Raw genomic sequence first — 24151 nt, 5'->3', positions numbered from 1 at the left:
AGGGAAGATGCAGAATATATAATTATAGGGAAGAATAAAACACTGGAGGAACTGGAGAAAAAAGGGAAAACAAGAGAGAAAAAAAGAAGCTTGAATTTCTGTTGTCACACATTATTTTTCGTTCATTGTTTCAGAGACAGGGTCATGCTACGTTGCCCAGACTGGAGTGCAGTGGTTGTTCACAGGCATGATCACTGTGCACAACAGCTTTGAACTCGTGGCTTCAAGTGCTCCTCTCACCTCAGCCTCCCAATTAACTGGGATTACATGCTTGCACCACCGTGCCCGGCTCAGCACAATAATTTTAAATTAGTCAAATTAATAGTCAAAGTGCCAGACCCTAAACTAATCCCAATTCTGATGAAGCTGGGAAACTAATCTCTCCCTAGTTTTACCAAATGCCTAACTCAACCAAGCTGAAATGTTAGTCATTAATGTAACGTATATTTATTGGAAGTGCCTAAAATGTGCCCAAAACCTCAAAAACTAGTTGATCTCAATTTGTGGACCGGAATAGGCTTTTATTCTTCTGCTATCAACTGTTAATTCTGTTAATTGGGTATCAGATAGAAAAATAACTACATCAATTAAATGTTCTGAGGCTTACTATGTGCCAAAACTAAGCATTCATGTATATTTAATCCTCTAAATAAAAAGACAAGTACTATTATTCCCATTTACAGATAAGAAAACTAAAACACAGCAATTCTCAAATGTTTGTTTCCTTACTCTCTGGTTTCCTTTGCTTGAACAAAAAAGAAAAAAGAAAAAGGAAAAAAATCCACTTCATTTAGGAAGTCTTTCCCATGTAATACAGACCCAAATTATTTCTTTGAGCTTCCCTCCAACATTCCTCCACTACAATGTATGATTCAGAAGGGGAAAAGGGCTGTGATACTACAAATAAATTTAAAAAAGCATCACCAAAGAAAACTAGACAAAGAACACAAAAAGGCTCCAACATTTGAACGTGCTCAAACAAATAACTGGAAAAGATTTTTCTGAATGGTGAATATTGTGCCAGGTATTGTCAAGAGGTCAGGAAATGGCCACTCCCATTCACTATTGGAGGAAGTGAAAAATCAACACCAACTTTCTATGGTGATTTGGCAATAAATACCATAAGCCATTAAAAAAAAAAAAAGGAAAAAAAAAATCACACCTTTCGACCCAGCAATCCCATTTCCAGATAATATATCCTAAAGCAATAAGATTCTCACAAGGATGTTCATCATGATCTTTACAATAGCAAACATTATAAACAATCTAAATGTCTAAATGAAATACATTAGAGATCCAATTAAATATCATACAGCCATTTATCTTCTCATATATGTTAACTGGAAAAAAACATAATACAAAACTGTACGTCTGATAACAGTTTTGAAAATACATATTTGCTGTGGAAAAAGAACTATATGCTGGAAAGATCTATGCCCAAATATTAACAGATATAATATAAAAATTGCGAGATTATACAGGCATACTTTTATTGTGCTTCATAGACACTGTGTTTTTTTTTTTTTTTTTTTGAGAGGGAGTCTTGCTCAGTCGCCCAGGCTGTAGTGCAGTGGTGTGATCTCGGCTCACTGCAACCTCCGCCTCCCGGGTTCAAATGATTCTCCTGCCTCAGCCTCCCGAGTAGCTGGGACTACAGGCGTACGCCACCACACCCAGCTAATTTTTGTATTTTTAGTAGAGGCGGGATTTCATCATGTTGGCCAAGATGGTCTAGATATCTTGACCTCGTGATCCGCCCGCCTCAGCCTCCCAAAGTGCTAGGATTACAGGGGTGAGCCACCACGCCTGGCCGAATGGCACCATTTTTCCAACATGTGCTAGCTTTGTGTCTCTGTGTCACACTTTGGTAATTCTTGCAAAACTTCAATTTTTCCATCATTATACCTGTTATGGTCATCTGTGACCAATGATCTTTGATATTACTATTGTAATTGTTTTGGAATGCCATGAAGCACCTCCATAAGACAGCAAATGTAATTCTTAAAAATGCTGCGTGTTCTGACTGCTCCACCTACTGGCAGTTCCCCTCTCTCTCTCCCTCCTTGGGCCTCCTGGAGACACAATACTGAAATTAGGACAATTACCCTATGGGCCTCTTAAGTGTTCAAGTGAAAGGAAGATAATTTAATTGATAAAGGTGACTACACTAAACAACAGATTTTCAAAGTCAACTAAACAGCTCTGTATTAACAGCCCTGTATTCAAAGAAGATACCACCTAGGACTCTCATAGCTGGAAAGGAGAAGCTGATGCCTGGCTTCAAAGCTTCAAAGAACAGGCTCTTTTGTTAGGGGCTAATGCAGCTGGGTGACTTTAAGTTGAGGCCAATGCTCATTGACCATTCTGAATTCTAGGGCCCAAATCTACTCTGCCTGTACTCTAGAAAAAAGCCTAGCTGAGAGCACATCTGTTTATAGCACTGTTTACTAAACATTTTAAGCCCACTGTTGAGACCTACTGCTTAGAAAAAAGACTCATTTCCAAATATTGCTGCTCATCCAAGAACTCTGATAGAGAGGGACAAGGAGATGTTGTTTACATGCCTGCTAACACAATATTCATTCTGTAGCCCATGGATCAAGGCGTGATTCTGACTTACAAGACAATTGTTAGCATTATTAAAGAAATATAGGCTGCGCATGGTGGCTCACTCCTGTAATCCCAGCACTTTGGGAGGCCAAGGTGAGTGGATCATTTGAGCCCATGAGCTCAAGCCCAGCCTGGACAACACATTGAAACCCCAACTCTACAAAAAGTAGAAATATGAGCCAGGTGTAGTGGCGCACACCTGAAGCCCCAACCACTTGGAAGGCTGAGGCAGGAGAATCACCTGAGCCCAGGAAGTCAAGGCTGCAGTGAGCCATGATCACACCACTGCACTGCAGCCTGGGCAACAGAGACCCTATCTCAAAAAAAGTATATATATATATATATTTTGTAAGGCTGTAACTGACATAGACAGTGATTCCGCTTAAAGATCTGGGCAAAGTCAACTGAAAACCTCCTGGAAAGAATTCAACATTCTAGATGCCATTAAGAACATCCATGATTCATGGGAGGATGTCAAAATATCAACATTGACAAGAGTCTGAAAGGAGCTGATTCCAGTACTCACGGATAACTCCGAGGGGCTCAAGACTTCCATGTAGGAAGTAACTGCAGAAGTAGTGGAAATAGCGAGAGAACTAGAATTAGAAGTGGAGCCTAAAGATGTATTGGTCCAATTTCATGATACCATCAATAGATGAGCAGTTTCTTTTTAAAGAAAATGGTTTCTTGAGATGGAATCTACTGCTGGTGATGACACTGTGAACATTGTTGAAATGAAACAAACAAAATTTAGAATATTATATAAACTTAGTTGATAAAGCAGCAGTAGGGTTAAAGAATTGTCTCCAATTTTGAAAGAAGTTCTACTGTGGATAAAATGCTATTAAAGAGCATTGCATGCTACAGAGAAATCTTTCATGAAAGAGTCAACTGATGCAGCAAATTTCATTTGGCACTTTTTAAGAAGTGCCACAGTCACTCCAACCTTCGGCAAACACCACACTGATCAGTCAACAGCCATCAACATCAAGATAAGATCCTCTACTGGCAAAAAATGTAAACTTGCCGAAGGCTCAGACTATTAACATTTTTTAGCAATAATGTACTTTTTAATTGTCATGTACACTGTTGTTTCAGACATTAACGCTATTATACACTTAACAGACTACTGCATAATGTAAACATAACTTTTATATGCTCTGGGAAACCAAAAATTTGTGACTCACCTTATTGCAATATTTGCTTTATTACAGTGATCTGGAACCAAAGCAGCAATATTTCTGACGTATGCCTATATTTGATTTTATTTTTTCATTTACATATAGTACATGGGCTGTGAAGTCAGAAGAACCAACAAGGTTCAACCCCTCACTCCCCCATTTTCCAACTACGTGACTTTGAGCAAGTTACTTTATCTAAGCCTTGATTTCCTCATCTATAAAATGAAAGTAATAATTTATCCTCAGAGTGAGAGGATTAAACGAGATAATGCATATAAAGCACTTATAGACAGCTCAGTCTCTTGAGCACTTATTTTTTAAATTTCTCAGACATTTATAATCAAAGTTGTTTTTCCTTTAACAAACAAAAATTCTTAAAGATTAAAAGAATTCTGCATAGCAAGAATTTAACAAAGCTTTATTCCAATCAACCTGAGCAGTATACAAATTATGACATTTTGGCATTTTAAGGAATATTAACAAAACTCCCAAGAAATTAGGTCGAGAATTAGACATGGTGGACAAGTGACCAAAAAGGCCTACGTGTTTACTGAACACTTAAGAACACACATTATGTCTTTAGGATCTAGCCTATTCTATAATGTGTAGTACAGTCTTAATTAAATAAATCACCAAAATGAACCGATCACTTTACACACTGCCAGGAACAATCAGATTCAAGTGGAGAAAGAAGACTTAAGGTCTACAATCCGAAGACTCCAGTATCTGTGAACCCAAACTGTTATTTTTAAAGACTTGTATATCTTAGATATTATAGATTTTACTTAGCTTTGTTTAGAGTCCACTAATTACACATCTAGATGTAAATTCCAAATGTGTACAACCTTCTCAGCAACTCTCCATATAGAAATCTGTATGGTTTTAATCTACTGGTTAAAAGAAAATGCTAATTTCTCAGGCAACTCATCAGATCCTCTTTAAGGCAGGGCCTATAGACCTTGCTTAATAATTCATGGATTCCTAGAATACATTTTCCTACTTTCAAGTCCAAAATGATAAAGATGCGCTGTTAAAAACATTGCAAATACAAAATAAAATACTTCTGGAATGATATATAAGAAACCTGTGATGGCATCTCTGGTGAGAGGACGAAGAAACTGGGAGAAAGAAGAGAGAAGCATACATTTGCTGTATTCCTCTTGATTTACCATTCTATATATGTATTAATTTTTTCTGTCACCCAAGCTGGTGTGTAGTGGCACGATCATGGCTTACTGCAACCTCGAACTCCTGGGCTCAAGCAATCCTCCTGCCTTGGCCTCTTGAGTAGCTGGGACTACAGGCATGCATCATCTAATAAAGCCCAACCTTTATTAGATTTTTTTAACCTAGTTACTAAAACATAAAAATCTTTACCTATATTTGGTTTGTAAAACAGACGTACAAACTAGATTTGATTAATACAGTGGGAAAAGTTAGATGTAAATGTAGTCTGTGTATGACTCAGAAGTACAGTGCTGTAAAATGTTTTTCTTTTGTAAATGCAGTTTATTGGCTCTAGAAAACTTTTTTTTTTTTTTTTTTTCAGACAGAGTCTCGCTCTGTCACCCAGGCTGCAGTACAGTGGCGCGATCTTTGCTCACTGCAACATTTGCCTCCTGGGTTCAAGTATTTCTCGTGCCTCAGCCTTCTGAGCAGCTGGGATTACAGGCAAGCGCCACCAAGCCCAGCTAATTTTTGTACTTTTAGTAGAGACGGTGTTTCACCATGTTGGCCAGGCTGGTCTCGAACACCTGACCTCAAGCAATCCACCCACCTTGGCCTCCCAAAGTGCTGGGATTACAGATGTGAGTCACCACGTCCAGTCTAGAAACTCATTTTTTTTTTTGAGATGGAGTCTTGCTCTGTCACCCAGGCTGGAAGGCAGTGACACGATCTCGGCTCACTGCAACCTCTAACTCCTGGGTTCAAGCGATTCTCCTGTCTCAGCCTCCTGAGTGGCTGGGATTACAGGCACGTGCCACCATGCCCAGCTAATTTTTGTAATTCTGTATGGTAGCTTGTAGGCTACCATAAACATTCACCTAGAGAAGTCTCTAAAAATACTAATTGGAAAATTCCAACTCACGACCATTTGAAAGCAGTAAAAGACAAATTTATGGTCTTAGACCTGCAATATGGGATTTTTTAAAATTTAACTCCAAGAAACAAGTAAATATTTGTACTACATCCCCATCTCAATATCAAGCAGCATAAAATCAACTTAGAAAAGGGAAAGTAATTTACTACTCAGACTCTAGTATCATCTGTAAAATTTTTACATGGCATTAGAGAAGGTTTTCACAGTACCATACGTAGGGTGTAATACCAAATGCCAAGTGCTATGGGAAATGTTTATTTCAATAAAATGGACCTCCATGTACCTAAAATGAAGGAATAATGTCTTCTATCTCCTTCACATTCTCCACAGTGCTGGGAACTCAACAGATACCTGTTGACTTGTGGCTGTGTCTCACCTTAGCTCTGCCCCCTCCCCATAAAAATCAGAGATGTAGACTCAATCAAACAGGAGTTTTAAAAATAAAACTACACCAATCTCTAAATCCTTTAAACTGACACTTTCATGTTCTACCTAGACTACTCAAATTAATTACAGAAAGTACCTACCTGGTTCCTTCCCACCGAACCCCATATATATAAAAAGACTAGGAGCTCGAGAGTTAAAACATGAAAGCAACCAAAATGCCCATCAAAGAATGAATGAATAAACAAAAGGGATATATACACACAATGGTCTATTATTCAGCCTTAAAAAGGAAGGAAATCCTGTCACATACTACAACAGGGATGAACCCTGAAGACATTATGAAATAAGCCAGTCACAAAAAGACTGTATGATTCCACTTGGAGGAGGAATCTAAAGCAGTCAAATTTACAGAAACAGAAAGTAGAATGGTAGCTGCCAAGAGCTGAGGGGAGGGGAAGAAGGGAGTTATTTAACGGGTATAGAGTTTCAGTTTTGCAAGACGAAAAAGTTCTGAGGATCTGTTTCACAATATGAATAGAGTTAACACTACTGAACAGTGTATTTGAAAATGGTTAAGATGGTAAATTTAATGTTATATGTTTTCTATAATATGCATAAAAACATTAGGTAGCTAAAAATTTTCATTAAAAATTGGTTCTGTTGCTAGAAAAAAAAATAATGCTCATTTTATGTCAAGGAGAAGAAAGACAGAACAAGCAATGCCTTTGCTACTACCAATTCCTTTAACAAACATTTTTGCATGTTGCATGCCTTGATAAGAAATTTGGTCAGAACTATTTATTGCCTACAATAGCCTGTTTCTCTTGAATTAGAGCCTTCCCACTCTATTAGCCAAAAGGAAAGATTCCTCTTTTGTTCCCTTAGAAAGTCATCCACCCTTAAGAATCTTACCTTGTGGTAAGCAGGAAAAAACAGACACGCAGGGTAACACCAAAAAGGTACTATTTCTACTTTCATACAGAGCAGACAGACCTACAATGAGCCTGCAATGGCAGGTTTGAAAAGTAACACTGCTCCAGATCTAACCATGTTCTTCTGGATCTTTAGAAAATTTTTAAAATTTTGCCCCCAATCCCTTTTACCTACTCTGATTTCTCTCTTAATACAAGCTACTGAAAAACTTAAATTTCCTTCTGATTAAAGTATAAAATAAGCAACTGGTTCAAAATCCAATATATCCTTCTAATGTTTTTACCCATGAGAGACAGTTTTTAATAAAGGAAAAAAAAAAAAGATGGGAACACACTAAATCTGTCAAGTCTGGTATTTTACAGATGATTAATCCCTCCCATATTATCTCAGGAAAAAGTAATAAGAGGACCGGTAAGAAAAAATACCCTCCTAAATAGTCTAAACACCATTATTACCACACAAATATCCTTGATTCTTCCAAATTTAGAATCCAGCACAGAAGTTTCAGTAAGTGTGTAAACACAGGCATAACTCAAGATTAGAGCAGAAGTTCTTAAACCAGATCACCGGTCCACAGACCCTGTGAACTGGAAAAAGAGAGATCATTCGAAGATTCTAGAAGAGAAAACTCCATCTGGTATTTGAACATACAGAGAGGATTTAACCAATAGAAACTAAAAGCTACAAGAGCGTAACTCCCGGCAATGTGGTATATAGAAGTATTCAACGACTTGCCAAGGATTCCACATATGCCAAGAGCAAAGATCTAGATGATATTGTAATCAACTACTGCCAAAATTAACTAAAAACATTCATATTCATTTTTAAAAATTAGCGGAGTTTTTTTTTAAATTACATTCAGTGTTTAAACCTGGACAGAAAACTGCTGAAGTCTACAAACTTTGGCATTCAAGAGTAGAAAACAGCCACAAAAATACTGAAAATATTAAGCAATAGTTGATACTACATCCTTAGAATGGGAAATTTAACTATTTAAAATATAATTATGTTGTTCACTTCAGGATTTTCAGAAAAACATTGTTCCCTCTCTCTCTTCCCTTCAGTAGTTAAGTTGGGAAAGTTAGCAAGCCAATTTTATGCCTTCTTTCCTAGAACAGACAACACATCACCAAACTGCTACAAGTTGGGCTCAAAATAAAACACAATGTCAAGGTCACCAACTCACTTCTAATGACGAGGCAGGCAACCTAGGAGTGGCACTAAATTAGGCTGTGAGAATTTCAGTGTTCCTGATAGTTGGACCTGAGCAGACATTGTGGGGAAAACCGTAAAAAATTATTTTATTCTGGCAAATATGTTACTGGTATTTAATCTCTGTAAGGGAGAGGTAAGTTTAAAAATAGATACTTTAACGTCCTGAAGGTATTCTTCCTTCACCAAGATCACCAGCTGAAGGAGCTTAAGGCAGATCTAATTTGGTATCTAAAAGAACAGGGAGGGAGGAGACTGAAACAATTTCAAGTCACAGAAACTACTTTCGTAGGCAATTTTTTAAGACATTCATCCACAAAAGCAGTACACTATTCTGATCACTTACCTTGTGGTTCATGAGACTTGTAAAGCATTATTACTAAAATGAAATCTATGAACAGACTAAACCAACAACTCAAATTTTCTGAATGACAGGATCCCCTTAACTCTTAAAATCTTAGACCATCAAAGACCTTTTAAACTTTAAAATATTTCTTCATTGTAAAATAGTAATAAACCTCACACATTAACAAAAATGTTATGAAAAATGACTACATCCCCCTCCCCACCAACAAAATTAATGACATTGCTTTACACTGCTGCAAATCTCTTTAATTTAATCTGGCCTAACAGAATGAAGATTCTCTTAATTGCTTCTGTATTCAATGTACTGCACCACAATATATTCTGTCAGTTAAATATATGAAGAAAATCCAGCCTCACTCAGATATGTAGTTAGAAAGGGAGGAATATTTTAATAGGTGTTTCAGGTAGTTATGGATATACCTTTGATACTACACCAAAATTCCACAGTGGTGGATTCTTGAAGGTTTGTGGAATCTCAAAACATATCGGTAGTCTGTCACATTAAAATTCAATGCTCTAGCACGCACTTTTACTGATGTATGACTGTTTAACATCACATGCATCGGTCACCCGTAAAAGACTGATTTACTGAGTTATACAGATCTTCCAAATGTTAACACATTACATAGTATCAAAAAATCACATTCGTTAATATGACTACTGATTTTATTTGAAAAAATATTTTAAGTATTGGGAGGCTGTCAAGCTCACAATGGCAGAGACGTGTTTTCCAAAATTCTAATTTTTGCTTGAAAGCTCAAATTTCATCATGGGCAACAAACACTGTACACTGAAGTATCAGTTTCACTGTTCTTTTGAGAAAATGTCCACCAAATATCCAAGTCTGAATAACTATAGTTCATCAGTTACTTCAAATAAAAGTGATGTTCCATGAAAACTGCAGTTGAAACTCAAAACAGCTGCACCAATGCTGTTCCTCCAGACAACCACTTTACCCCCTTGCAGAAGTTCTTTCTCTAGGTATACCTTCCATTCTGTCATGCAGAACGTTTAATAGACATGTGTTCAAGTAGAAATTTAATCAAATTAAGTTTTCACTGCTTCAAGGACATTCTTAAAACTGATGGTTTTTTAAACTGCTAGTACATGGTAATGAAGATTACCTCTACAGGTACTCTTTTGTGCTACTGTCTTGATCTCATGCTAAGATGGCTTCTGCAGCACTGCTGCAAAGTCAATGTATTGAAAAAGGCAAGTATCACCTGAGTACTACTGTGAAAATAGTTTTTACTTCACAGACATTTGGAATGAGTTCAGGGGTTGCCAGACGACATTTAGAGAACCACTGGACTAAATGATATCAATTTTGATGGCAGCTACGGACTCCGACCAGAGAAATGCACATATGTACAATCACACACAATTTCACACACATCATCAGAGGGTTCACAAAGCCCTTATAACCCATCTATATATAGCACATCTCAGCTAACGAACGCCATCAGCAGACCAGCCTGGGCAACATGGTGAGATCTGTCTCTACAAAAAAAAATTTTTAAAAACTAGCCGGGCGTGGTGGCCTGTGCCTGTAGTCCCAGCTACTCAGGAGGCTGGGGCAGGAGGATCGCTTGAGCCTGGGAGGTTGAGGCTGCAGTGAGCCATGATCACGCCATTGCACTCCAGCCAGGATGACAGAGCAAGACCCCGTCTCAAAAAAAAAAAACAAAAAAAAGAAAAAGGAAAAAAAAAAGAATGGCATTAGCTGAAAATTCAACAAATCTCCAAATTATATTTAATTACTTCAAAATAAAAAGTATCTACTAGGCATTACAAATAAACCTTGTTATAAACAGGAGTTGCAGTTCAACATCAAACGCCTTCACCTGAACTAAAAGGAGATTAAGTTTTGAAATAAAATTATATTAGGAAAAGTGAAAGGTCTAAGGTAAGAATCCCAGCTTCACCACCTGCTCAAGATTATACAGTTAATTAACTTTCCCACCAGTATCTACTTATTTCACAGGGTATTTGTGAAGAACAGTAAATAAATAGATGTAAAGGACCTAAAACAATGCCTGATACATAGTTAAGCACTCAAAAAATGTAGGTACTCAAGATGGCCATGCCATGCCTTCCTTACAATGACTATATAGCAGTTTATTTATAGAAAATCTAATTTGCACCTAGGCTTTTTCTTTTCTTTTCTTTTTTGAGATGGAGTCTTGCTCTGTTGCCCAGGCTGGAGTGCAGTGGCACGATCTCGGCTCACTGCAACCTCCACCTCCCAGGTTCAAGCAATTCTTCTGCCTCAGCCTGAGTAGCTGGGACAACAGGCGCGCACCACCACACCCGGCTAATTTTTGTATTTTTAGTAGAGACAGTGTTTCACCATATTGGCCAGGCTGGTCTCAAACTCCTGACCTCGTGATCTGCCTGCCTCCGTCTCCCAAAGTGCTGGGATTACAGGCGTGAGCCACCGCGCCCCGCCAGCTTTTACTTTTCTTTCTGTCTGCTGAGGAAGCACCTTATGGATACTTGATTACTTAATTACAAATTCCATCATCACCTTAAAGGGCAACGAGATTACAGTTGAGGATATTAACTAAAATTTTTTAGCTATTTCCAATCCTTCAGTTTTCCTATTTAACAGCATTAAGAAACGTACCTTTCTTCCTACAATCAACTTTAAGATAAACTAGGCAAACACTTATATGCAAATACGTAACATACTGTAACCTCTTCACTGATTTAATACATTTTTGCTTCAACCTCTCATCATTCTGCTTATTCCACAATTTTCAAGAACTTGATTTTAATATTTTGTTCACTATTACAGAGTACTAAGAAACACCTAAGGCTAATTTTTGTTTTATTTTAATAACATGACAAAATGTCAGCAATATGTTTTCAATGGCCATTCTCTCTCATAATTTTTTGTCAAATGAATGTGAAAAAACTTAGTATTTTAAAACAAAGCAAGAAAACTATTTGATGCTAAACAGATACTATCATTCATGGTATTTAATGGGTAAACTTACACTACTACTTTAAGTGACTGTACTGAGTGAGGTCTACTAGACTTCAGTAGTAATGCTAGTGTTAAGAAAAAGAAGTGTCACATGTCATACAAGGTAAGGATATTAAATAAGACCTTTACCATAGGTCATTAGGTTTCGGAATACAGCTAATGTGCCACTATTTTTAAATCCACAAAACAACAGGGTTCTACTTTTTCTACTAACTTACCTTACTGCCTAAATCTAACATGCATACTACTCTAAGAAACACAGAAGACGGCCTGGGCAACACAGCAAGACCTTGTCTCTAACAAAAAAAAAAAAAAGAGATGCAGAAGAGAAATGATTTTAAATTGTTTACATTATAGCATTAAACATATGGAATGGACTAAAACCATTAAATTGTGTGAGATATCATAATATGGACTGTTTTTCAAATTTTTACTTATGTCCTTATTTGGGGCATATTTTAGCCTCTACCATTTAAAAAATATTTTTTCAAGACCCAGTCCACAAGGCTAAATCCTACCAAAAGTAAACAGAAAGCAAAGAGTTGAAAACACACAATGTACTTGGATCCAAGTTTCATAAAATAAGACTTTATAAGATAATATCCTAAAATAATTTCCTGTGAAAGTTTAAGACTATCAAATATGCAGATGAGGTTCATTATTAAATATTTAATAACATCTGATATTTTAAGATTACTAAACAATGAAAAATCTACATTAAAATAATTAAAATAACTATCTTGAATGGTTAAGTTGTTCCTTTTTTTTTTTTGAAACAGAGTCTTACTCTATTGTCCAGGCTGGAGACCAGTGGCACAATCACAGCCTAACTGTAGCAGACCTCTCAGGCTCAAGTCTCAGCCTCCTTAGTAGCTGGGACTACAGTTGCACACTGCCATGCCCTGCTAATATTTTTAATTTTTGTAGAGAAAAGGTCTCACTATGTTGTCCAGGCTGGTCTCAGACTCCTGGATTCAAGAGATCCTCTCGCCTGGCCTCCCAAAGTGCTGGGATTACAGGCGTGAGCCACTGCACCTGGCCTGTTCTATTATTTTGACCAATTATTACACACTTCAGATTATCCACATGTATTTGAATTTTTAATAATTTATTTCCACAAGTAAAATTTAAACACATTATCAAAATCATTAGAAAAAATTTCTTACTGTTCGACTTTAAGAAATGAACTTGGCTTTCTATTTTGTTAAATTCAGATTTTAAAAACAAGTATTACATTATTAAATAACAAAAGGATGGGAAAGGGTCCAGTGATGGAACCATACATGGGGCAACACTGGCCATTGACAACGCCGGGTGACAGGGGTTCATTATACTATTCCACATACTTTCTGTAATGTTCCAGATTGATTACGTTTTTTAAAAAACCAAATAGTCAAATTAACAAACAAGCAATTACTGTATTACCTTGAGGATGAAATAAACACTGCAGAGCACTACTGGTTCAGCAGAGAATGTGTGCGTGGTCATAACAATTTAAGCACTGACGTCCAATTTAATCATAGTGTGTGATGTAACATCGGGGCACAATGGGGACAGAAATGGGGGTGATAATGTGAATAGCTTAGTTATCATCTACTAGAGGAGCAAGTCAGCTGGAAATACTAAAATTGACAAGATATAGAAATACCATTTTATTCCCAAAAAGGAAATGAAGCACCAAGGAACCCAGCGGAAGAGTTGAACAACTGCTCTTAGGAGATGGACTAGGGATTAAGGAGTGGGGAGGTAGGGGACTGCCATTTTTCATCCTAAACCCTTTAATACATTATTAGATTTCCAAAAACTTCTTACTGTAAAATGTAACAGATAAAGAAAACCAAAAATTGAAACAAAAATGTCCAGGTTACTCTTTACAAACATCTGTACAACCACCATCCCAGTCAAGATAGCCCACAAGGGCCTCCCCAGCCCTTCCCGATCACAACTCCTTTCCAACAGCTTAAGGGTAGCCACTATACTGACTTTTATAGTACTTTTTACAGTATGTTTTTTTCCTTTTACTTCATAGCTTTTCTTCATAGTTTTACCAGCTGCATATGTGCCTCTAAACCTATAGCTTAATTTTGAATGTATTTTGTAATTTACTAGTGGAATCAAAGAGTATGTATAACACACATATATGCTATTTCCTTCACTTTGAGAAATTTTTAGTAGGCTTTAAAGACAAATCCTCAATATACTCATACTCCAAAGACTCTTCCTTCAAAGTAACAATAATATGAAGGTTCAAGTAATAATATCTAAATCCTCATAAGGCTCTTTTCTGCTGGGTACTGTTCTGTTTTATGTGTATAAACTCATTTAATCATCAAAACAACACTGTAAGACAGGTTTTATTGTTATCCTCATTTTATAGAGGGGAGCTAGGCACAAAGAGATGACCACAGAAATGATAAATGACTGAGCAAGATTCAAACCATGTAGCCTAGCACCTGAGTCTGTGCTCTTAACCTACTGTCTCATGACAGACAGTTTTCAATAAAAGAAAAATTAAAAATGTAAAATATATTACTAGCAATAATTTATTTTTTATTTAAGGCCTCTAGAGAGTACGGTATCTCAAACAATCTAGCTTACCAGTAGTATTAATTACCAGTAGTAATAATTTTGTGGCCGGTGGCTCACACCTGTAATCTCAGCACTTTGGGAGGCCGAGGCAGGTGGATCACTTGAGGTCAGGAGTTCAAAACAAGCCTGGCCAACATGGCAAAACCATCTCTAATAAAAATACAAAAATGAGCCGGACATGGCGGGGTGCACCTGTAGTCCCAGCTTCTCAAGAGGCTGAGGCAGGAGAATCACTTGAACCCGGGAGGCTGAGGATGCAGTGAGTCGAGATCGTGCCACTGCACTCCAGCCTAACAGAGTGAGACTCTGTCTCACACACACACACACACCAAAAGAATTTGGGCTGTTTTTACATGCCTTTGGAAATTAACAAGATTAAAGTACAAGGAAGAGCAGAAATCACCTAATCCACTCTTGTTATTCCATTGCTAAACACACAGGAACCCAGGAGAGTACTTATCCCCAGTGACATACACTAGTTTGTGCTGGAGCTAGGGTAAAAACCCAAGGTCTCCTGATTTCTTTGCATTATACGGTTGTATAACATCAATCTGGTTATAAAAAGCCTACCGATGATTCTGCAGAAAGCGTTTTAAATTTTTATTTTAAAAAGCCTACCAAGTAAATAAATCCATGACTGCTAGAACTACATCTCAATCATCCTGCCTTTTACCATTTCTCTTCCCCTTTCAAAACCTAAGAACAATAACATTTACGTTCCTTCATTCAAACAAATATTCAACTACTGTGTGCCAGGCACTGTTCTAGACAGAGCAGCTTCATGCCTGCATAAGGTACGAAGATAAATCAGTCCTACACTAAACTCTGTAGTATGTAACAGTAGAGATGTGGGGTACCATATGATATCTACGTAACAAAGTGCTATAAAGGAAGACTTTAAAAATAGGTTATTTCCAAAAGAGGAAATTAGCAAAAAGGTTAAAGGCGTGACTTGAGAGATGAGCAGGATCCTGGTAAGAGAACTGTGGGATGATTGTCAGGCATTCCAAGGTGGAAGCAGCAAAAACAAAGACCCTAAAGTGAGAGAGCATAGAACGCCTTTTAAGAACAGTATCTGTTTAGCTGGGTCATTAGCCATAGCAGCAAATAAACTGAGAGCAGAGGCCATATTGGGCAAAGGTCATACATTCTAGACTGAGATGTTTGAACTTAATTCCTAATCCAGTGGATACAGTGATCCACTTGTAGACTTATGAGGAAAATGACAAAACTGGGACTGCATTTAAGATTAACTTTGAAGCAAAACAGGACGAAGAAGCAGGGAATAATTTAGGAACTTACTGCAATCTGGATGAGGGAGAGTGCAAACCTGAATAGAGGTGAAAGCAGGTATGCAAAGAAGATTAAGGCATTACAGAGTAAAAATGGTATGCCCTGGCAGCTGACTGCATGTAGACGGGAGAAAGGCAGGCAATATGGAGACAATCAAAATGTATCATTAACAGAAAACAGGCAAGTAAAAGTTGAGCTACATGTAACCTGTTGAAGAGATCAGTCTAAAGGTAGGGGGGTGGGGAATGTGTTAATAACCTTATTTTACTTCAGAAAAGCAAATCTCCCCTTAGTCAAATAAGCAAGACTATAATATGCAAACTCTAGTATGCAGAAATATCCAAATTAAAGCAGTGTCATTTGAAAACTGGATTATTTTTATACTTAATACATTTGTACAGCAATACCTATTAGAACTAGTCATATTTTTACTAAGATATGTTATCTTACTAAAATGTATATACCAAGTATCAGCATTTTACGATGCTAAGAATATGCTTACGTTAAAATATTTAACAACCTCTAAAGAAAATTATTTAACCAATCAGTAGAAAAATGCAGCTACTAAGTATCAGCAAAGGGGAACTATAACTGATTTATCTCCTAACTTCACGTCAATAGGTTCTTGAAAACTTTGACTTTGTTTTCTGCTCAGCATCTTTTGTTATGGTATGGATAAAAAATGGTTTTGTTATAAGTTGCTTTCTTTGCTTAAAGTCACAGAACCTATTGACATTACATTATTGACAGAACCTATACATTAAGGGAGGACTTAATGTATATCACAAGTTATTTGGTTCAGGTAGGTAAATGATGTTCACTTTGAACTATCAATTTCTTCTGATTAAATAAAAGCCATGTGATCTTTCTGCGTAATGTTTAACAAGCAAACTATGAGCTCCTTGTGGGCAGAGTTTATGTTCCAGACACCAAGTACCCTCAGTGCTCAGCATTTAGGGGAACTTTCCTAAGGGAATAAATGGAATTCAACCAAAGAACATTTTCCAAGTATACAGCACTTTCATAACTTGGTGAGTATTACACAACTGCACAGAACTAATGATCCAATACTGGAGTGTTTACTATTCAACAGGTAATGTAGTTACAACATGAGTAATACACAACTCCTCCCTTGAAGTCAGGACTTACTTCTCTGAACAAGTCAAACACCACTGACTTCATCAGAAAACCTTGATTTACACTATGTGCATGACCATCAGTCAGTCTCTTTTGTTTCTGGTTTCTCATCTAAGAAACAGATGAGGATCCAATAGAAAAGGAACGTGAGAGAGCTCTGCAAAATATGACAAGTATAATCTACACCAGTTGGCTTGCCATAGGATTCACCACACTCTAAAACAGACAATTAAGGATGACACTGACACAAGCAAATAAGAGAGTTCGGCTACCACCCACCACCTGAAAAAAAATCTCCAGAACAAACAGTACCCTACAGACAGGTCAGAAATATGAGGACAACACAATCTAGGGAAAAAAGGTTTATGAATTTTCACCAAATTTTTAAAACTCACAAGTACATGTTTAAATTTATCTGAGTTTTGTTTGGAAAATTCCTACTGTAATTCAAGACACACAATACCATTAAAACTCAAACTTCAACATTTCTCAGGAATGAAACAATGCAACAACTTTGTGGAAAATGCCTCCGCTGCCTAAGACCATCTCAAATGAATGCAAAACCTTGAAGTTTCAAAACTTAAACTTCTGAAACACGTTAGAAAATAAATTTGGGGAGAAAATTAGACGTAAGTACTTCAACTGATCAAACACAGTTTCTACCTGCACAAGAATATACGATTCCTAAAAGACAAGCGATATATGCATAGCATTGTTACTGTCTTATCCACCTAAATACCAGAAAGACAACAAAATGAATAATCTGAGCTATCATCTCTTCACAGAATATGCCAAGCAGCATCACACTCCCAAAGTGGACAAATTCAAAAGTAGTTAAAAAATCTTCCCATAAAAATCAAAGATGCCGTTAAGAATGTTTCTGAGCCAAATGTTGATGGCACCTATTTCAATTTACTTATCTAAAACCAATGTACAAACATAAAAATGCATCACCATTTATTTGTATGTGGAATTTACATAACAAAGAAACCCTTATATGGAGCTCAGAGCTTTCATGTGAGGATCTTATATGTCTCATCATCTACCGCTCCTTCCATGTAAATTCAGAGGAAAAAATAATAAAAACAAGGCGTAAATAACAAATGAAATTTAAGGCTGTTTTTCAGAAAGGTATCTTTTAAAACTGTTCTTACATTTCTTGGACAACAAAATCATCTTGAATTTATAGCAGTCTCGGCTTCAAGGAAATCCTCCAGTAGGAAACATTTCTGCAAAAATTATATATCCAAATTTTGCATTAAACGCTTTCTTACCTTCTGCTACATCATCATCTACTGCTCCTTTCACCTGAGAAAAACACCACTGAATATCATTCCCTCCTCCAGCTCCTGGAAAAAGAAAACATACCAATTAAAACCGAGTTCTGCTTATGTTGACTCTCGTAAACACAAAGATGGTATCCATGGTTGGCATGATACTAACAGCCTAGTTCTGCCCACACATACAACTACCACCAAGAGCACCAGTTTGGAAAGAGGTTAGTCCCCAATACTTGGTACTGCATTAGAAAGAAAAAAAAGATTCCAGGTACGAAATATTTAAAGGCACATGTTCTGTGGTCATTAAACATCTGTTCACAAACTTCCTGTCAAATACAGTAAAAGCCTTACATTCAGGCAAGACCTACCAGAAAAAAAGTAAATACCAAGAGTTAAAGAGTTTTCTTAAGTGTACAAAAAGCCTGCAGAAGAGTTAATAAGGTTAAACTACCATGAAACATAGAACGAAGAGAAAACTTCGGGAACATTACTGCCTGGGTAAGGAGTAATGATTCATATGAACCTTATCACCAAAGTGCACACACAGCAAACACTACACCCATTTCTTTGCATTCATTACCAGCAAATCACTGGCTCCAGACAGAGAGGAAAAGAAACCGAAATGAATGCTGCTAAAGAGACTGTCAAAGGAAGCTTGTTCTGCCTCCCTTCACCTCATCCCTTGACTCCAAAGGACCTGGCAAAGAATTCATTTTGCTAATGTCATCTCGTGCAAAACAATTTTAATCTCATTTCATTTTTCAACAAGGCCAACAAGCAACTTGTTTATAGCAAACCGTAAGTCAATCCGACATGTTAACTTTTTCAAAAGGTTTAATTATCTAAATAATGAATACAGCACGGAAAACTGGTCTCATCTCGGAATGTTTCTATTTCACGTGCAAGTACTGAGGTCGAAATGATTGAAAATGTCCTGGGGCTCTAGGGAGAAAGAAACTGAATCTAAATCTGCAACTGATTCTACTACATGAAGGAAAAGATTTAGCAATACCAACATGTACAAAAAGAATTCTCAAAGCAATTACATTACTTCTCTCTCCCCCATCACCCCTATTCCTTGCTAAATTTATTTCCAAACTGGTTTTCTCTCTACATCCTTTCCCCTCCCCTTCAAAGCTTCTACCTAAATCTCTCTCCTCCTTGCTATTTATATCTCTGAACTCCGCAACTATTTTAACTAACTCTACCAAACCCTTTTGGGAAAAGGACATCTGCAAAAAAGCTAACATGCTAAACGCAAAGTTTAAATTATTTTCATGCAACTTGCTGTACATGAAAGGCCTTGCACTCTTCGGCGGTAAAAGGGAAGAAACGGAAACGAAATGGTTCGAAACAAAAAATTTAGGCTTCCAGTCTCAAAAATATTGGCATCTACAGTGGGGAAAAAATACACATATGCCCCCACTGTATTTTAACTTATAAGGCGCTCTTCCTTCTCGAGGCAAAATAAATGTGTATATACACCCAAGAAGGCTTGCAGCAGGGGGAAAAATAGAAATTAAATGAAGACCTGCAGGAAAAAAAAATAAAGGCGGGGGGCAAGGTGGGGAGGTGGGAGAAGATCCACCAGGCTCCCGAGCGGGAGGGACAAATCTGCACGCACCCCCACCCCGCCCCACCCACGCCTCACCCCAAGCTCGCCGGCACACCCCACCCCCACCCCCGCCACGGCGCCAGCCCCGTTCTCCAAGCCCAGTGACTCTCACCGTGACCACTTGCCTCCCGGGAGCCCTCCCCGCCCCCACCCCACCCCTCTGGACCCTACTCCCTCAAACCCGAGGGGCGCCCTGTGGCTCTGCGCGAGGCGCGGGCGGTCGCTAGGGGGTGATGGAGGGAGGAATAAGGAAGCGGTGCCTTGTCAGGGGGCGAGGGGGATTTCTCCTTTACCTGCCATGTTGCGCTGCAAATGGTGACCCTGCTGGGTTCCTCGGGGTCTCCGCTTCCTGAACTCACCCCCCTCACCTGGGGATGGGGGGGTAGAGAGGGCGGATGGCGGCGGATGGCACCTGCGGGGGGAGGGGACGGGGGCCGGGGGGAAAAGGAAGGAGGGGCGGGCAGACCAGCCGGCAGGATGCTAGATTTCACTCTGGGGCTTCCCCGCTCGTGCTCTTTCTCCGGCAGCGGCGGCGGCGACTACGACAGCGACGGCGGCGGCGGCAGCGGCAGGGGCAGGCGACTCCACTTTCAAAATGGCGCCGGCTGGCCTGGCCAGTGACGTCACCTAGGGGGCGGAGCCGCCGGGCTGGGGCGGAGAGCGGAGGGGGAGGGGCGGGGGAGCGGCCGGGCGGCTCTTGGCCACGCCCCCTTCCTGCTGCGCCTGTGCCCCGCCCTCCGTGTCCCGGCCGGCAGGGCCTGCGCCGCGCCAGCGTCTCGCCATGGCATACCCTCTGTCCGCACCGCCTGCGCCAGGCCGCGGCTGTGTGCACCTAGCAGTGTCCCAGCCTCGAGCACTAGCGCCGGGGCTCTGGGGCGGGCTTAGGAGTCCAGTTTACGTGCTCTCCTGCAAGGATTCATGGGGTCCTATGTCTTCTAGGAATACCTGGGCCGGGCACGGTGGCTCATGCCTGTAATCCCAGCACTTTGGGAGGCTGAGGCGGGCGGATCACAAGGTCAGGAGTTCGAGACCAGCCTGGCCAACATGGTGAAACCCCGTCTCTACTTAAAAATATACAAAAATTAGCCAGGCGTGGTGGTGTGCGCCTGTAATCCTAGCTACTTGGGAGGCTGAGGTGTGAGAATTGCTTGAACCCGGGAGGCAGAGGTTGCAGTGAGCCGAGATCGCACCACTGCACTCCAGCCTGGGTGACAGAGCAAGACTCCGTCTCAAAAACAAAAAACAAACAAACAAAAAACCCCGTACTGCTTCTTAGGAAATTGTCACTTTGGATTAGCCCTGAGACCACAAAGAAAGGGACAGCGGTGCAGACTTACTGCTCAGCCGGGGTGAAAGTTCACGGGGTTCAGAGGGACACGATTGGGCTGGTTCTATCTGGGTGAATTAAATTACCTTCTCGTGGGCCCCAGGATCCAAGGCGGGAGTCCTAGGCACTGCGGACACTAAGAGTGATTTCTAAGAGAAACCTGAGTTTGTGATGAGAGGGTATGGCCCAAGAAGTGACCCGGCGTCTCTCCAGCTAAACGTGTTGGACTGCGTGCTTAAGAGCTGGGCTCAGGGCCGGGCGCGGTGGCTCACGCCTGTAGTCCCAGCACTTTGGGAAGCCGAGGTGGGAGGATCGCTTGAGGCCAGGAGTTCCGAGTTCGGCCTGGAGAACATAGGGAGACCCATCTCTCCAAAAAAAATTTTTTTTTTTAAATTAGCCAGGTATGATGGCGTGCCTATAGTCCCAGCTACTAGAAGGCTGCAGTAGGAGGACTGCTTGAGCCCAGTAGGTCAAGGCTGCAGTGAGCTATGTGATCACATCACTGCACTCCAGCCTGGGAGACAGAATGCGATCCTGTCAAAACAAAAACAAAAACACAAAAAGTGCTGGGCTCTGAAGCCAGGCTGCCTAATATGATTCCAAGGCTCAGGAGATGAAGATGACAGTCCTACCTGATAGGATTGTTGGGGAGATGAAATGACTTAATTTGAGCACATGATAAATGTTAGCTGCCGTTATTATTAGATTTGTATTGAAAGCATCGTCAGTAAGGTTAAGAGGTAGAAGGAAAAAAATGAACAGGAAATGCCAGTCATCAGCTATGAGGGGATGTGCACTTCTGTTGAAAGATGCTCTAATGATGCAGTTGCTATATACAGCACACTTTACATATCCCATTCCATCTCCACGATACTCCTAGGAGATAGATATGCACATTTTACACGTGAAAAACACCTGTAAAAGCATCCAGAATTTGGCCTAAGGCTGAATGGAGTGATAAAGGCGTTTGGAAACCAAGAAGGGGGAGTTAAAGATATTTACACGTCCTCCCCACCATCTCCACTTTCTACCATATTTTTGATTTCCAGGACAGTTGAACTGTAATGCAACGTTCAAAATTCCTTCAAAGGAACAACTGCACCACTGCATGATCATTCCTCTGTTTCTGCATGAATATTTCCCACGTTACCAATGAATTAATCAAAACTAAAAATCCACCCTCTATGTGTCATCTTTTGGCTACCTGTACAACAGGTACAAAACTTCAGTGCACTGCGTGCTGTATTTTCTTCAATGCTGGTGTTTTTCATAAATGTATTTCTCTGGGTATGCCTTCATTTATTTTCCTTTTTGCTTGCTCTGCCCTTCTTTGGTGGTTCAATCCCAGACTCTCCAGGGAGAGCTCTCCATCTTAACCAGAACCCAGAAGGAAGGAGAGAGAGAGAAAGGAAGACAGAAAAAGAGAATATAGACTTTACATACCCTGAAAATGATTTGGTTTACATAAATGATTTGTTCTTAGAAGCCAATAAAGCTTGCCTAGAAACTGGGATAATTATAACAAAAATGTATATAGCACCGACTTTGTGCCAGGTGCTGTTTTAAGAACATTATTTGGAGCCTTGGGGGTACTGCATGCCTGTGGAATGGGCTGACTTGGGTCTGATAATCAAGGGCCAGTGCACCCTGGCACCCTGGTGTAAACGACCTGGCTCTTTTTGGGCCCTGGTCAGCCCTTTCAGAGGACCATAAGCCACCTCCCTTTCATCAGAATGGCCATTAGGAGGAGAGGCCAGAACACCCGCTAGCCCAGAGTCAAGGGTTGCTCTTGTCCATCTCACTTCCATATCTATCTTCCACTTAAAAAAACATTTTTGCCAGGCACGGTGGCTCACGCCTGTAATCCCAATACTTTGGGAGGCCAAGGCAGGTGGATCAGCTGAGGTTGGGAGTTCAAGACCAGCCTGACCAACATGGAGAAACTCCATCTCTACTAAAAATACAAGAAAAATAGCCTTGTGTGGTGGTGCGTGCCTGTAATCCCAGCTACTCGGGAGGCTGAGGCAGGAGAATCGCTTGAACCAGGGAGGCGGAGATTGTGGTGAGCCGATATCAAGCCATTGCACTCCAGCCTGGGCGACAAAAAGCAAAACTCCCTCTCAAAAACAAAAAAAAACAAAACTTTTTTTTCTTTTAAAGACAGAGTCTAGCTCTGTCACCCAGGCTGGAGTGCAGTGGCATGATCATATCTCACTGCAGCCTCAAACTCCTGGGCTCAAGTGATCCTCCTGCCTCTGTCTCCCTAGTAGCTGGGACTATAGGCATGTGCTTCCACACGTGGCTCTACCTTCCACTCTGTCCTCTGCCCTTACCACTGCACTTAAATAGCCTCTGTCAAGGTCATTAATGATCTGTATGTTGCTACAGTGGTCACTTCTCTGTTTTAATTTTTCTGTATTTCCCAGCAGCATTTGAAACCATCCATCAATCCCTCTTTTTTGAGACTCTTTTTTTCCCCTTGACACTTTATTTGTCACCCCCCCTAACCTATCCACCTGTCTAGCCATTCCTTGTAGTTTCTTTTGCTGGCTCCTTCTCCTAGACTACCCTCTAAATATTAGAGTGGTGGCCAGGAGTAGTAGCTCACACCTGTAATCCCAACACTTTGGGAATCTGAGTTGGGAGGATCACTTGAGCCCAGGATTTTGAGACTAGCCAGGGCAACAAAAGGAGACCTTGTCTCTACAAAAAAATACAAAAAAATTAGTCAGGTGTGGTGGCACGTGACTGTAGTCCCAGCTACCTGGGTTACCTGAGCCCAGGAGGTCGAGGCTGCAGTGAGCCATCATCACACCACTGCACTCCAGCCTGGGTGGCAGAACAAGATCTTGTCTCTAAATAAATAAATAAATATTACGGTGATCTGTCTCCCCAGCCTCCGTACTGGGGTCCCTTGTGTAACTACACATTCTTCGAGCAACCTCATTTAGTCTTAAGTAAATATCATGTAATACCATGTATATACCAGGGACTGCTAAATTTAGATCTCCAGCTATGCCCTCACCCTGGAACTGTAGACACACACCTCTGCATGCCTATGTGACATTTCTAGATGCCCATTTAGCATTTCAAACATAGTGCTGCCAGGCACAAGTCTTGATTCCACATCC

General features: G+C 39.9%; 1 protein-coding gene across 10 annotated transcripts in view, besides 1 other annotated feature; it reads right to left on the bottom strand.

Moving 5' to 3' along the window:
- Positions 1 to 20305, bottom strand: part of PPP2R2A (protein phosphatase 2 regulatory subunit Balpha) — an 81173-nt gene extending 60868 nt beyond the window's left edge. For 4 of the 10 annotated variants that reach the window (XM_024447187.2, XM_047421935.1, XM_047421933.1 and 1 more), the window contains exon 1: positions 18073 to 18134. Coding sequence is in view for 6 of the 10 variants with exons in the window: in NM_001177591.2 (NP_001171062.1) it covers positions 18073 to 18147; positions 18530 to 18566 (112 nt within the window). In the remaining 4 variants the exon portion in view is untranslated. Of the gene's footprint in view, positions 1 to 17952; positions 18148 to 18529; positions 18598 to 19986 lie in introns of those variants that run through there. The other 6 variants (NM_001177591.2, XM_011544565.2, XM_047421936.1 and 3 more) reach the window with 3 other exon arrangements.
- Positions 20154 to 20503: a silencer, noted in NCBI's record as "silent region_19038". NCBI's record gives its function as "represses an Ori minimal core promoter by ATAC-STARR-seq in GM12878 lymphoblastoid cells {active_cell/tissue: GM12878}" and the evidence as "EXISTENCE:reporter gene assay evidence [ECO:0000049][PMID:35858748]".

Source organism: Homo sapiens, chromosome 8 (genome assembly GCF_000001405.40).
Source record: "Homo sapiens chromosome 8, GRCh38.p14 Primary Assembly".
NCBI lineage: Eukaryota > Metazoa > Chordata > Mammalia > Primates > Hominidae > Homo > Homo sapiens.
Note: the sequence above shows the minus strand (reverse complement) of the source record. Positions and strands in the feature narration are given on the sequence as shown.